Source organism: Homo sapiens, chromosome 11 (assembly GCF_000001405.40).
Source record: "Homo sapiens chromosome 11, GRCh38.p14 Primary Assembly".
Lineage (NCBI taxonomy): Eukaryota > Metazoa > Chordata > Mammalia > Primates > Hominidae > Homo > Homo sapiens.
Window position 1 is genome coordinate 31,753,683 of NC_000011.10, and position 14,966 is coordinate 31,768,648.

General features: G+C 34.4%; 1 protein-coding gene and 1 long non-coding RNA gene across 4 annotated transcripts in view, besides 5 other annotated features; one reads left to right on the top strand and one right to left on the bottom strand.

Annotated features, from left to right (window-relative positions):
* Positions 1-14,209, bottom strand: part of ELP4-AS1 (ELP4 antisense RNA 1) — a 78,869-nt gene extending 64,660 nt beyond the window's left edge. Inside the window, exons 1-2 of the long non-coding RNA NR_199065.1 lie at positions 13,953-14,209; positions 13,549-13,700 (exon numbers count right to left, since the gene is read on the bottom strand). This is a non-coding gene — a long non-coding RNA (ELP4 antisense RNA 1). The remainder of the gene's footprint in view (positions 1-13,548; positions 13,701-13,952) is intronic.
* Positions 1-14,966, top strand: part of ELP4 (elongator acetyltransferase complex subunit 4) — a 280,558-nt gene that overhangs the window by 243,916 nt on the left and 21,676 nt on the right. For 2 of the 3 annotated variants that reach the window (NM_001288725.2, NM_001288726.2), the window contains one exon: positions 9,729-9,867. The exons of the other annotated variant lie outside the window; for it this stretch is intronic. In NM_001288725.2, coding sequence (NP_001275654.1) covers positions 9,729-9,867 — 139 coding nt within the window. The remainder of the gene's footprint in view (positions 1-9,728; positions 9,868-14,966) is intronic. 3 annotated transcript variants of the gene reach the window in all.
* Positions 9,329-11,627: an enhancer, noted in NCBI's record as "E60Z fragment containing E60A and E60UCS/E60B elements". NCBI's record gives its function as "enhancer in the eye, telencephalon, and diencephalon" and the evidence as "EXISTENCE:transgenic organism evidence [ECO:0001131][PMID:22220192]".
* Positions 9,347-10,053: an enhancer, noted in NCBI's record as "E60A element". NCBI's record gives its function as "enhancer in the early telencephalon, optic cup, and ventral thalamus" and the evidence as "EXISTENCE:transgenic organism evidence [ECO:0001131][PMID:18282108]".
* Positions 10,066-11,627: an enhancer, noted in NCBI's record as "E60UCS/E60B element". NCBI's record gives its function as "enhancer in the telencephalon" and the evidence as "EXISTENCE:transgenic organism evidence [ECO:0001131][PMID:22220192]".
* Positions 10,450-10,764: a conserved region, noted in NCBI's record as "conserved region; ultraconserved element uc.326". NCBI's record gives the evidence for it as "COORDINATES:sequence similarity evidence [ECO:0000044][PMID:15131266]".
* Positions 11,054-11,321: a conserved region, noted in NCBI's record as "conserved region; ultraconserved element uc.327". NCBI's record gives the evidence for it as "COORDINATES:sequence similarity evidence [ECO:0000044][PMID:15131266]".

Genomic DNA, 14,966 nt, shown 5'->3' on the forward strand with positions numbered 1-14,966 from the left:
GAATGTTGAATATAGCATTTTTTGTGAAACAGAAAAATATGAGATAAGTTACAAAATGATACATGCATTATGATTGCATTTGTATGAAATTTATTAAATTTTAAACATGTAAAATAACATTATTCATTATTTATGTATATACATATATCTAGTAGTGATTCAAAATTGTCCATGAGAAAAATAGATGTCAAATTTACTTCAGTGCTTACCTCTAGAGAGGTATGGAGTAGTGGAGAGATACACAGGAATCTTCACTATTCTTTTATTCTGAAGCAAGTGTGACCAAATGTTAGAAGGCAATAAAGTTTAGTGATGAGTACATGGGTGCTTTAATTAATGTTATTTTCTGAGTTTTCTATATGTTTGAAGTATTTCTACGTAAATACACACATGCCCCAAATCTAGCCACTTCTTACCACCTCTGCTGCTATAATTGTGAGCCTAATCCCCATCATATCTTGCTATCATCCACTTCTCACAAAGGCTGCTACAGTAGCCTCCTAAATTGTCTACCCACACTTGTTTGCCATACACCATTCAAAGTAATCCTTTATCATGAAGTAAATCAGATTATGCTACTCCCCCGCTCAGAACACGCCAGTGGCTTCTCATTAAAATCCGTACTATTTACTCTGACTTACAAAGCTCCTGTCTACTCTCACAACTCATTCCCTAGCACTTTCCCCCTAGCCCACCGAGCTGCAACCACCTTCATCATCTTGCTGTTGCTTGCCAACCATGTTCTTACTTCAGTGACTTGCACCTACTGTACCCTATAGTACAGTAATACTAGTACAACTAGTATTCCTTGCATTGTTCCCTACTTCACTTTTTTTAAGTCTGCTTGAATGACCTTCTCAGAAAGGCTTTCCCTGACCAACCTATCTTTAAAATATCCTCTCCCCAGGCTGGGCATGCTGGCTCATGCCTGTAATCCCAGCACTTTGGGAGGCCGAGGTGGGTGGATCACCTGATGTCAGGAGTTCGAGACCAGCCCAGCCAACATGGTGAAACCCTATCTCTACTAAAAAATACAAAAATTAGCTGGGCATGGTGGCGGGCACCTGTAATCCCAGCTACTCAGGAGGGTGAGGCAGGAGAATCGCTTGAACCCAGGAGGCGGAGGTTGCAGTGAGCCAAGATCACGCCATTATACTTCAGCCTGGGTGACAGAGCAAGACTCTATGTCAAAAATAAATCCTCTCCCTGGCCTAAAGCAATGACACCCCCATAACAATGGCATTCTAGTGCCAGTTCTTGCTCTCTGAGCTCAGTTTTCCAGTAAAAGAAACCAGGGCTTCAGGAAGAAGTGTTTGATTGCTGGATTCCAGGCCCAAAGGAGGGAAAATATAAAACAAGACTGAACATCATGTGCCAAAAAGTAAGGAAACATTTAAAGAAAGATGGATGGGGACATGTCAGAAAACCCACAGGAGCCAGCCTGAAATAGCTCCTAATGACCAAAGATAAAACAATTTGAGCAAGAAAATAGTATTGTTTTTTAGCCCCTAAAATAAAATAAATATCTATGAGTTCATACTATTGTAATAAATAAATTAATGAATTAGTAAATCTAGAAGGAAAGAGGGAAATAGAGAATTGCTATTAGGCAGATAACACAGTAATAAATGTTGCAGACAAGATTCCTCAAAGGATGCAAAAATTAATGGGTAGAAATTTGAGCAAGGTACTTACAAAGTATAAGGTAAAACTTTATATTACAGAAACCTGACAGACACCAACTTGACAAAATAGTCAAGGTAAACAGCACCAGTATATAAGACATATCAGCATCATGAACCCCTTGGTAAAATGCGCTGAGAAGCAGACATTATTTTTTTAGCAGTCTTGCCAAAAATGCATAATTTCTATCATGAAAAAACTTCAGACAAACCCATATTGAGGAACATTCTATAAAATAACTGATCAGTACTCTTTAGAGGTATCAAAGTCATACATAAAAGATGAGGAAAAATTGAGGAATTGTTATAGACTAGAGGAGACTGTGGAGATATAGCAACTGAATGCAAGTGGGATCCTGGAATTACAAAAAAAAAAAAAAAAAAGAATATTAGTGGACCTGGACCTGGTACCTAAAATAATACCTGTAGCTTAGTAATTACTTATCAAATTGGTATGTCTGTCCATCCATTCATCCATCCATCTTTGATACCTCCCTTTTTCTCATGCTTCACATCCAATTTCTCACCAAATCTTCATTTAACACCTGGTTCCTTGTGGAGAGAGACTAGGAGACAAATGATATCAGCAACACCACAACAACTTTTTGGTAGATCCTCTGAATTTTCCTACATATCCGGGATAAGATTTTATTTTGAAGGAGTAAATATTGAAAGGTTTGGGAAATTTATTTAAAAGAATCACAGAAGTGATCACAAATAGAAGTAACAAAGCCTCTGGCTTTGCCTGTTTTGGGGGATGGGAGCTCATCTTCACTTGCCTGGATTGCTGTACTGGCCTCCTAATTGGTCTCCCTGCTTCCAGTGTTGCCCAGCCTGTTATTCCCACACAAGAATGATGTCCTTATAGCCAGAGAAGTATTTTCAGGAGGAAAATCTAATCATGCCACTTTCCATGACTAAAAGCCTTCATTGATTCACCACTGCCTTCAGAATGGAAGCCCTACAGATTCTGCCTCTGCCTACTTCTCCATCCTTATCTTTTACTATTTCTGGCACAAACCATAATCACCATTCATACCAAACAACCCACACTTTTACCCCTCTTTGGCTTTGCATTTGCTGTTTTTCTTCTTCTCCTAGGACTCTAATTTCCCATCTAACTCTAACTTGCCTTTTAAATTTGACTGGAGCAGTACCTTCTCCTCAAAGCCTTTCCTTGTCTGTTAAAGTCTCTCTTTAAGTGTACTTTCAGCTCCTTTGCAGCACCTTCTTAAGGACAAGGATTACTTGAATCTCCAGCTAGCTTGTTGCCTTGTACATGGTGGTGCTCAATAAACATTGGTTGAGAAAGAAAAGGAAGAAAGGAAAAAAGGAGAGGACAGGGAGGTTTTAAAGTTATGTAAGTATTAAGCAAAAAAAGTTTTCCCTGCTTTTCTCCTTCTCTACTTTGATTTCAGGCTCTTGCATATTTGTGTAATTTATTTTACCTGATTATCTGCTTATCCTTTGACATAGATGAAACATAAATATCCATTAACTGAAAGAGATTTAGAAAGCTGTCCACTGCGGCATAAACGATGGCTGATAACAATGGTATTGAGCCAGATTAAGAGTATGAAGTGCATGTTTCATTGTAACCATCAGAGAATCTGATATAATGTCTAGATTTTTAACTTCTTCGCCATCTTTAAACTTGACAATGCCAGTTTTTTGAAAAAATCATACTGAAATATAGAACTATCACCAAAAACTGTGTTTTAAAACAACATGTGCCATCTTAAGGAATGCAAGAAAATCAAAATATGCCTTCTACTTACTTCATTTGTTTCCTCTGTATTTGTAATTACTGATGAGTTTACTTGGTATTTATTTGCTATACCCAGACTATGGAAAACCATGGAAGGGGTTAAATAAATTAGCCCCTGGGTTTTGAGTCTACCTAAGGAAAAACAAATTTCTAAGGGAAAGCAGGGGAAGTATAAAGTTAGTGGAAGGGGAAAGATCCCAGTTACATTTTTACCTCATTGAATTCTTTCCAAATCAGACTACAGATTTTTTTTTTTTGCATCTACCATGCCAAGCATGATATTTTTAGCAACAGTAGTACAAAGCAAGCAGCCTGTCGTTTGGGAGCTGACAAATAAGCACACTGTTCCTCTTAAACACAATATGCTCCACATCTTTATCTCCACTCATCCTTACAGAAGCTCTTCAGCTTGCCGTGTTTCTTTAAGGAAATGACAAGGAGCACTGGTTAATAAGCTCTTGGGGTTATTCAATATCCCTCTTCAATGCTCATTTTCTGAAGTTGAAAACACTTATGCATGTGCTCACATGCACACTAAACTTTGTCAGAGATGAAGTACTTCCAAATGGTACTTGAATGTGATTAAGAGAACCCTGGGCCTGATAGGACTCATTACACAACACGCCAGATGTAACAGTTTGCTCAAATTTTGGTTCTAAGAAAAGGAAACATCTTGGTAAAAAATGGCTCATAGAAGTGGAGGTAATAGTTTATTGTATTTCTATATAAATGTGTGCTCAATACATCATTTTAAAAGAAATGTAACAGACTTTCTTCTTACAAAATATACTTAACATTGGAATAGTGTCTGTCATTTCTTTGGCATTAGACAAAGAAATCAAAGTCTGTTTGACTTACTGCCATGAGTTTCTGGTCTAGAGTTATCTATTTTTCCTCCCTGATCATTATAATTTTCTAAAACAATTCAGGACTATATTAAACAATTTTATACTTAATGTCATTGGTGAATTTTATGTTTATTTTCAAGTCAAACAATGATTAATAATGTTATTTTACAATGTGGTTCTACAGATCTTTCAACACAGCTTAAAGTTACTGAATTCAGTTTTCAACTTCTAATTTCAGAGCGTATTAACAACCATCCCATGGTTGAATTTCCTACCACTAGGTAAATTCCTCGAGGATTTTTTATATTATCTCAGCCTTTAATTTGTGGGTCACACTCATGTTCGTTCTTTATCATTCCAGAAATGGAATCTGTTTGAGTTGTATAGCAATATAGTGAAGAAATTAGAAATTAATGGTTGTTGAAATCAAATAGATAGACTTATAGGAACTTGATTGTTAAGCCCAAGGTTTTATAGATGATAATTGCCCTGTGTTTCAACTGGACTAGACTATTATGACCATGGACGTTGTCAACCTAGAAAATTCTCTGCTTTTGCATTTTTTGCCCAACCCAAGTTTTGTCAGATAGTATATGTCACAATATATTGTACAAGACCTCACCTCACACTAAAACATTTTATATGAAATAAATTCTGTTGTTAATGATATGTTGACAAAGAGGGTGGAACTTTTTTTTTTTTTTTTGAGATGGTCTCACTCTGTTGCCCAGGCTTGAGTACAGTGGTGCAGTCACAGCTCACAGCAAACTCCACCTTCCAGGTTCAAGCAGTTCTCCCACCTCAGCCTCCCAAATAAGCTGAGACTACAAGTGCACACCACCACACTCAGCTAATTTTTGTATTTTTTGTAGAGACAAGGTCTCACCATGTTGCCCAAGCTGGTCTCGAAATCCTAACCTAAGTGAGCCACCACACCCAGCCAGAAGTTTTTAATAGAAAATTTTTAAAACGTTTAATGATCTTAACAAGCTCATGTCATATTATGTAATATATCTAGTTGTTTTCTTATTGGTAGATATACGTTTGTGACTTACTTTCTTCCATCATTCTGTTCTGTGAAAATTAACAAAATTGCTTAATATGTTTTTATTTAAATGACTACACATGCTGAGAATTAATCTTATATTCTGTTACCTATACAACAAATAGCAAAAAGAAGTTTTGCTTGGTGTACCCACATAATGCGTTAATCATCCTCCAAAGTAATTAATTTACAAATCAAGAAGTTCTTTCCCACACATATTTCCTTCTAGTAGAAAAGCAAAATTAGAGAATATATTAAGTTTTGAGTTTTTTCCTTTGTCCTTAGGTGCCTTAAATGCCTATGTATAATTCTACAAGAATCCACTGCTTAAAAATAATTGATTTTATCCTGAATGACTGGAGCACCTATGCTAACATTAGCCATACCTTATTAGGGTAAGGAAAATATATCATTCATGGATATGCAAACTATCCTTTCTTTTTAAAGGGAGATTTGTCCTAAAAGGTGTCTGAAGTAAGAATTCACTTTCCTTTTCCCAAGCTCCCAAAAACATAATTTCACTAACTGTGTAATATGCATCTTCTCATAAACCTCCACAAAGTACAAAACAGCCTGTTGCTTACTTTTTATTAAGGCTTATTTTCACACACTAATAGCATTGTTTTTCATGTAATATGCCCTACCTCGTTTAAGTGTTTTCTTTTCTTTTTCTTTTTTCTTTTTTCTTTTTTTTTTTTTGAGACGGAGTCTCGCTCTGTCACCCAGGCTGGAGTGCAGTGGCACGGGCTTGGCTCACTGCAACCTCCGCCTCTTGGGTTCAAGGGATTCTTGTGCCTCAGCCTCCCGAGTAGCTGGGATTACAGGTATATGCCACGACACACAGCTAATTTTTGTATTTTTAGCAGAGACAGGGTTTCACTTGGCCAGGGTAGTCTTGAACTCCTGACCTCAAGTAATCCACCTGCCTCGCCTTCCCAAAGTGCTGGGATTACAGGCTATGAGCCACTATGGTCGGTCAGTGTTTTCTGATTACCAGCTTGAATAGTTTGTATTCATCAGCTTCAGTGCTTTATTAAGTGATCTGAGATATTGATGAGCCTGACTACCATAAAGATATATACTTTTATGTCCACCTTTGGGATGGACTCTATATCACATAAACTCCCAACAAATTACATACCAACTTCTCCTCCAGTGCTAGGGAAAGAGAAGCTTACCTTAGCTACATGGACACTAGAAAAACTGAAGTTTTGACTAAGCAGTATCTCATTTATTTGGCCTGCTGTTTCCTAATGGCACAACTTTGAAACATGTCACCACGTTAAATCTAATCTAGGCTCAAAAACTCCTATTTCTTCTTTCCTGTGGATTTCATAATATTTCCAGAATGCCTCTAGTCCTTGAAAGAAATTACTCTAAACCCCAGCTTAACAGGTTGAAATATATCTTGCCATCCTGATTTTATCTTTCTTGCTTTGGCAAGTTCTTTTCCTTAAGTAGAAATATGCATCAGTTTAAGTATGCTAGATTTTTTTAAATGTATTATAAAAACATTAGAAGACGATATTTGTATTTCAAAAGATCTTTTAACTTTACACAAGATTCCTAATAGGTCCCACTTAAGTATAAGTTAAATAGCATATTTCACTTCATGTCAATTTAATTTAGATATAACTTTTTAGAAATAATACTTCCTGTAACTGTACTTAGATGACTTCCTTAGATATTCCAGATGATTCTAAGGGAAAATTAAATGCAAATTATTATGACATATTATTTAACCCTATTACGTTATGATTATAATAGCAGAGACCAGTCATCTTTTTACCAGAATGTTGTATGTTTCTGAGTGATCAGATGCATTGCTTTCTCAATCCAAAAATAACATGTACTAATAATTCACTGCTATTTCAAAAAGTTAGGCTTAGGATGTTCCCAATAACTATACATCCCCAAGAGTAAGGAACTATGGGGCTTAAATTTATTTTGAGTATTTTATGAATCTTTAGCTCTCTTAGGAATTAAACTATATGCTGTGTTCTATAGTTAAGTTAGGTATCGGCTTTTTCAGAAATTTTATCAACTCAATGGCAAGGCTGTTCGCGGTGGCTCACGCCTGTAATCCCACCACTTTGGAGGCCAAGGCAGGGGGATCGCTTCGGCAACATGGCAAGACCCTGTCTCTACAAAAAATTTCAAAAATTAGCTGGGCATGGTGGCACACACTTGTGGTCCCAGCTACTCAGGAGGCTGAGGTGGGAGGATCACTTGAACCCAGGAGGTGGAGGCTGCAGTGAGCCATGATTGCACGACTACACTCCAGCCTGAGCAACAGAGCAAGGCCCTGTCTCAAAAAAAAAAAAAAGCCATTCAGATGCTGTTTAGAGTGATAAAACAATTACTCATTTTTTAACTATACCCAAGATTGAACTTTAATATTTTAAGTTGGAGGAATGGAAATGGAAGGAGTCAATATACTTTTTCACCAGAATAGAATTTCAACCTGTTACATATATACCAGTAAGTATATAAAATCTCTGTAAAGATGGACATTTATGAAACCAAAAAAAGATTTGAATTTAAAAATGTACCTTCTAATAGCATGGGCAATAAAGGATAGGGACAGTGGGGAGATATGCTAATAGGAAGATATATTAAAGAAAATTGAAATGAGAACATAAGTTCATTAGAAAGATATTAGGGCAAATGATTTATTAAGCTAAACAAATAAGAAGGAGTATCTTAGTAAATAAGGACAGTTGGCATGTATGTAGGTGTGGTCTTGGGACTTTGCCACCCAGACCAGGGATTTGGGCTGTGGGGAAGGATGATGACCATCTGCTCCAAGTGACTCCTACTGGCTGATACACAGAGCTCAGTTGGCATCAGTCTCAGAAGAGACTGCCAGCCTCCCAATCAGAAAATAAGCAAAACAATGGCATTGCTGTCAAGCACAGAAATGAAGTTTAAGATTTAAGTAATAAGTGGCGACTCAGAAAGGGTCAGAAACCTTAGAGTGTAATCCAGACAGATATAAGTTGGCTTGATTGTGAAATGGACCATCCTGACAGTTAATGGAGGATACTTGAAAAGCTAGGCAGAAATGATCTACAGTGACCATGGTAAGCAGACTGAAACTATTACAGCTCACGAGATATTTAGCACAACCTTTAACATCTAAACCAGACACAAAGACAATATAACACTACAAAACAGAAAAAAACTTGACCTATGCACAAATTAGATTATATGAAAATAATGTAAATATCACTGAGATTGAGGCAAAGTAGTAAAAAGATAACTTTTGCCTACCTTCTTGTCTTCACAACAAAGTTTATTTAAATGATTTTTTCCTTAACAGCCTTCAAAAGCAGGACCAGTGAACTTTTTATTACCTTACAGAAATCTACATTTTATTCGAAAGAACTTGAAATTAAATGATAGAGTTTAAAAAATGTAAATTTTTAAATTTTTAAAAAATAACCTTTAGACTTCAAAAATACTTATTAAAATAAAGACTTTCTACAATAAGAATCTTTTCACTTTCTCTTTTTAAGTCAGAAGTAATTTTGGTTTTATATTTTGCATTTTGATAGACAAATGTATGTTCTTCCTGTAGATTACAGTCATTTTTAAGTATATTTAGCTATGATTATTTACAGCTCATGTATCATATGTATGATTAATTTTAAATAATTAACTAGAAGGCATTCTTAGCTAAAATATAGATTTTTTTATATATTAATTTGCCATATAGTTTATTCAGCTCTAATTTCTTATGTCTTAAGATATATTTTTTAAACAGCTATTTAGCTCTAAAAGTACTTCAGATAAGTGTGCTTATTGGAATTTTTTATAGAAAAATAATTTTTTTCAGTGTGCAATATAATATAAATAATGATCAACCTGATACAGATTTTATACCTTGAATATTATATATAGGAAAGTATTAAATATAGAAATGAGCAGTTTTCCCTATAGCTATTTATGGGCTATTATTGAATAAAAACAAAAGTACTTTAAATAATAACAAAAGATAAGTAAGCTCAGATGTAAACTTTTCTACTCAAGATTTGGCTTCTTTAAATGCAATTCTGTATAATGAGCAAAAAAAAAAAGCATATCATTTAAATTAGATGACCATTTTAAAATTAACATGTCACTGTTAAAATATCTGTGATGAAAAACAAATATCCTTTAAGGATAGCCATTGAAAATATGCATTCTTAAAAATATCCAAATATAAGCCCTTTCCTGTCGCTTGATTTGTTGCAAATATTTAGGATAGATGAGTTCACTGTGCTTTTAAAAAGATACACAATTGAGAAAGAAAATGAGATGTTAGCTTTTTCCCCCTCTAATCCTTCTCCATCCCTTCAAAATTACTGTTGACTAACAAGTTGTGTCTCTTTTCTCTGAGGCAGTGGGTGCAAGACAACTACTTGAGACAAGAGAGGAACATTTATCCTCCAGGCTTCTCATACTTACTCAAGCAGAAAGACTCTGCATGGGGAGAAGGTTCTTTACAGCATTCCACATTTTTAATGAGCTTCCTTGCAAAGGGTATGGGCTTTCCCTTTTTTCAGCTAAAGCTTCTACTGAAAGAGGGATTTGTTCTCATTAAGAAGGGAATGTTAAGGGATGATAGTTTAAGGTGTTCACATACTGCTATTTAATCACCTTTTTACCAAAGATTAAACTTTACAGCTAAAACTGCAACCAACATGAGTACTTTACTAAGTAGAATTTGGTGTTCAGAATGGTACCTTTTTTTTTTAAGCCTTTCTCTAACTTGTTCTCTGTCTGACTTATTTTAATGTTATATGACATCTAAAGAAATGAGTTTTCAATGTCATTTTCCAAGTCTTTTGTGTAGGTGTGCACAGGTAGCCCATGGGGCTTCATTTATTTTTTTTTTAAATTGGAAGATTGCATTATTATTTTCATAAGTCATGGCTATTCTTTAAACCGAAAATCTATAGTTATTGATAATAAGCTTTATTGTCAGAAATGAAGTTTCTAATTTTTTTAAAGTTGTAAGTATTTTCTTATATCTCTTTCAAGGAATCCCAGTTTATATTTATGTTCACTGCAGCTAAAACAAGGAAGCTGCAGTGGGTGTCCAGTCATGTCATACTTTAGGTAAAACCCGAGCATCTTGGTGTGCGATACAATATTGCGATAATGTCTATTTTATACCTAGGTGGACAAACACAATTAAAGGCTGGTTACTTATTGTCCTGACACCGTTTGAAATAGTCTCAGAGTACATCGTTTGTGCCAAACTAGCTGTGTGTGCTTGAAGACAACCTTTGAAAGTCTCTGCCGACCAGTATAATCTAATGATTTCACTTACACCTCCCTTATTTAACACTGTCATGGAAAGTAAGGAATAGGCCATTCATAATTTACATGTCATTTGCTGCTTCATATTGTGTGAAATTTAATTACACAGCTTAAATCGTAGCCAGTGCTCATTTGTCTCAGGGAGCACTCACAATAAGGCATTGATGTGAGTCCAGCATTCACCCAGAGTCCGCCTTTTATCAAATCACCTTCTGGTGCGGCCATCAAGGCCGCACAGTTGTTCTTTTCACTCTTTTGTAAGGAAAATGAGAGAATTTGACCCCCATTTTCATTTAAAAATCCAGGGCATCATATAAAAGATGCTGCTTGAAAAGATTTTATTCAGTGCTTTACCACAATGGAATATACAGATAAATTTTCTGAAGGTGATTACAGAGCCTGGTTGGGTCCTCCCAGAGCTGTAATAGTTTTGTAGAACTTCCATTGAATCAAGAGAAAAATGAAATACTAAAACTCCCCACAGGTGTCGGTTTTATTATTTTTTCAACAAACACTTCTGGTAGAGGGGAACCCCTGATCCACAGCTACAAATTACTAATCATGTGTATTATTCAACGTTTTAGTCCATTTCTGAAACTTTTCCTTTAAATCAAAAGGACCGCTCTTTAGTAATTGCAGGCTGCTTGGCCTCCTGATGGGAGACTCATATAACCGTAATCCCCCTGACGACTGCTACTGGCACCCATCCCACTCCTCAGCAAAACACTAAGACTGAATTAAGAGGATGAAGAGGATAATTATTAGATTCAGGAACAGTTTCCCAGCAAAATCTGTTTTTTATTCATCACCATGAAAAACTGTTTATGGTTTTGGAAATACTCTGTTATGGTAATGGGTATGAAGCTGTTAGAAGAAGTGACCTTATTCTAAAATTTAACTGTTAAAAGTTTTTTAACAAAAAAAAATTGTATACAGTACAACCAAAAGCATACACTTTGGTGCTGCATTGCTCCTTATGATGCCTCTGCAATATCATCGTGAATGTTAGTGATATTTACAAACACTGATAGATGATATCAGTTCATATTTGCTCTGCCTTAAAATGCCCTAATGCAACCTAACCAAGTAGACATTTTTTATAAGTTAAACAGACTCTTTTTAATATTTGGATACATTCTAATCAATATTTTCTATCAGATTAACAGGGCAACTACCAAAATCTTAAGCTGGATATAATATGAGTAATCATTGACTTTACTTTTATTATAAGTAGCATCTTTATCAAAGAGATGAGTTGTATTTGTAAAAATTTGTAAAATTACAACGAAAGAATTTAAGACTTCCTATCATATAAATAAATAGAGTGCAACAATAGATCCCCTGGACAATTAAGATCCATTGCTCATTTTCTGGAAATACTATTTAAGTAGTATATATTTTAACTAAATATTAATCTGCATAATATTTTAGAGCATTAGTGATACCTCATAAATTAGTGTTACTTAAAAACTGTTCTTAGCCTGATTTATTTAAAAACATTTATTAAGAAATAACATGTAGTGGGCTTTTTGTTTGTTTTTGGCTACCATCATTAATATCTGAAATAATTTATTACTCATTTCCAAGAGAATTAACTCCTAATAAAAGACTTATTTCTCTTTTTACAAAAAGTTAATATTCTTTTTTCCCATTAATACATTGGGAATAAATATGAAAAGCACATACAGAGTAGTTTATAAACTGTGACTGTTCATCTTCTGTGTGGTGCTTCATCTATTTTTTAAAGTCTTTAATTTAGAAAAAAATTGTTAGGGAATCAAAAATGTGTACATTAATATTTTAAATACAGATTAAACCCAGTTCTTATGCATGTGAACAGTTTGCTTTGCATTGTATTTTATATAATAAACCAACCTAAAGAGATATTTTATATCTGAATAAAAAAGAAAACAATAACCACGGAAATATAACGGCAATAAGTATATTTTTCTGATAAAGTAATAGTAACTAAAACCGGTCCTTATTGCAGTTCTAGTTGTATATCTACCTGTTAACATGTTTGCCATGTAGTACCTTTATTAGTGTAAGATAAATACATATGGTTTCAGGGTGTTGGAATATAGTGTAAGTATTACTGAGTCCCTTGAATTGACATAAGTTTGGAAATGGTTTTGGCTAGTTTAGAAGCAAGAAACATGTTCCCATTTTTATTTTTTTCAGAACTTTTCAGATGATGTTTTGACTCATGATTTTACAACATGATCAATGATCATTTTGTGTGAAATATTAATATTTAGTTACAGAGAAATAAATTGTAAGATATTTAAGATAGACTGTTGAAATATACAAGACAGGTAATAGATTTAGGATGCAAACACCTATAGATACTAGTGTTACCTGAAAATAAATATATAATGAAAATAAATATATAATTGAAGATGCCTGTTATAATTTTTCATTTAGAAACAGAACTACTAAGTGTTTGTAATATACTCTGTAATTTACAAATATTTGATTGGGTAAATGTTTGATGTATTTGCTTAAACTGATTTTAGAGCAACTAATATCCCTTTAGCACATAAGCTATCTTAATGAAAAACAGAAGAAAAAATGCCACTACTTGATATATTTCTAAAGGAAAAACTCATTTTTTCATCATTTATTAAATAGCAAAACTTGTCAGTATTGTACTTTAGAAATCATTTGATGAAAAAAATCATGCTTTCTTTTGCTCTGAGTATCTCAAGAAATTCTTATATGTGGTTTTAATACTAAAGGCCTCTAAAGGAAATTCAAAAATATGTATGTTTCATTTAACTTAGATCTAAAAAGCTTAGAAAATAACCCTGCATAACAATTACAAAATCAATTCCCTCCACTATTTCATTTTGGAGCACTAATTTTGCAAATGCCAAAAGGAACATTCCCATTGCATACCTGCAGACCCTGGATGAAATGACGGCAAACTTCAGGGTTTCTACTTGACCAGAGTGGCTCTTCTGGCTACAGTGAAAATGTGAGACAGGATTTAGCCGATTCGGTGTATGAAGTCATTGGCTCTTCTCTATTTTGAGGATCTTTCAGACCTCCTTGTAAAAAAAAAAAAAAAATTAGCTCAAGGGTAGTTAGGTGGTGGGGGGAAATCCCCCACATATAAAAGCAAATTACTTTTTAAAGAATAGAAAATAATCGGTATGAGAAATTACTTCTGAATTATCCAAGTGGAAATTAAACTTAGCTCCTGTTAACATTTCTTTAGAAACATGCATTTTGATTAAGCCAAACAAACAACCAAAAAAAAAGACCCTAAGAGCAGCGTAGTCATTTATCTATATACTCACAAATACTTTTCTTTTTTCTGATCATCAGTATTTTTTTCTTGCTTTATTTGCATCATTTCCTTTAACTTTATTTCCCATTATTCATAGAAAAGCTTTCTATCTAAGGCTGAGTTGAATTACTGCTTACTTCCCTCTGTGAAGTCACTTCAGCAAAGAGTTACTCTTTGGAGTTAGGTCCTCATCTCTAATCTGTATCCCTCAGCTGAAGCACTTGGTCTTTGGCTGCCCTATCACCACCCTAAGGCACGTAGAAAGAGGGCTCTCGCTTTGCCCAGTCTGTTCACCAAGATCCTTTTCAAATTGGTGAGGAGGGAGGTTTGTGGAAGGGGGAACTAGATGTATCAAGCAACTCTGTGAAGCCAGTGTAATTTGTAAATTTGCCATAAACTTTTAAGTGAGAGTTGGAGTGGGGGTTTTGAGGGTTAGCATGTTTTCAGAAATCAAAAGGAAAATGGGAGTTTTCATTTCAGAGGGCTCTGATACTTAAGATTTTTTTTTCTAAATTTTACCAAAGCTATTAATTAGCAATTAGTCAACATAATTAAAAGATATTAAAGTATTCATGACAATATTGTTATGCTATATACTTACACTTAAATATATAAATAGGCAAAACACACACAACAGCATTTATCAAATAATACTAATTAATATCACCTAGGTGTTAATTTAAATTTGAAGCAAGTGAAATACACACTGCCTAGGAGAGTGCACCTCTATCTGTCCATGAAGAGTGAGAAAAATCACTGCTGTAATTGATACTTTTCATTCATTATGAAAAGCTTTTATAAACTCAGTAGAGAGAAAGCCTCATTTCATTTTCTCAAACCAAAAAGATACTACCTAAATGTCTTTGTATAAAAGCTAATACAATATGACAAAAATAATATTATAGTCCTCAATATACATTGAACTGGTGAAAGAAGTTAGGAACAATTTGACAAAGATAAAACATAAAATTAATTTTCATGTTATTTTCTTTGTATTCACATTCATACCAGGTAGACTTTGTCA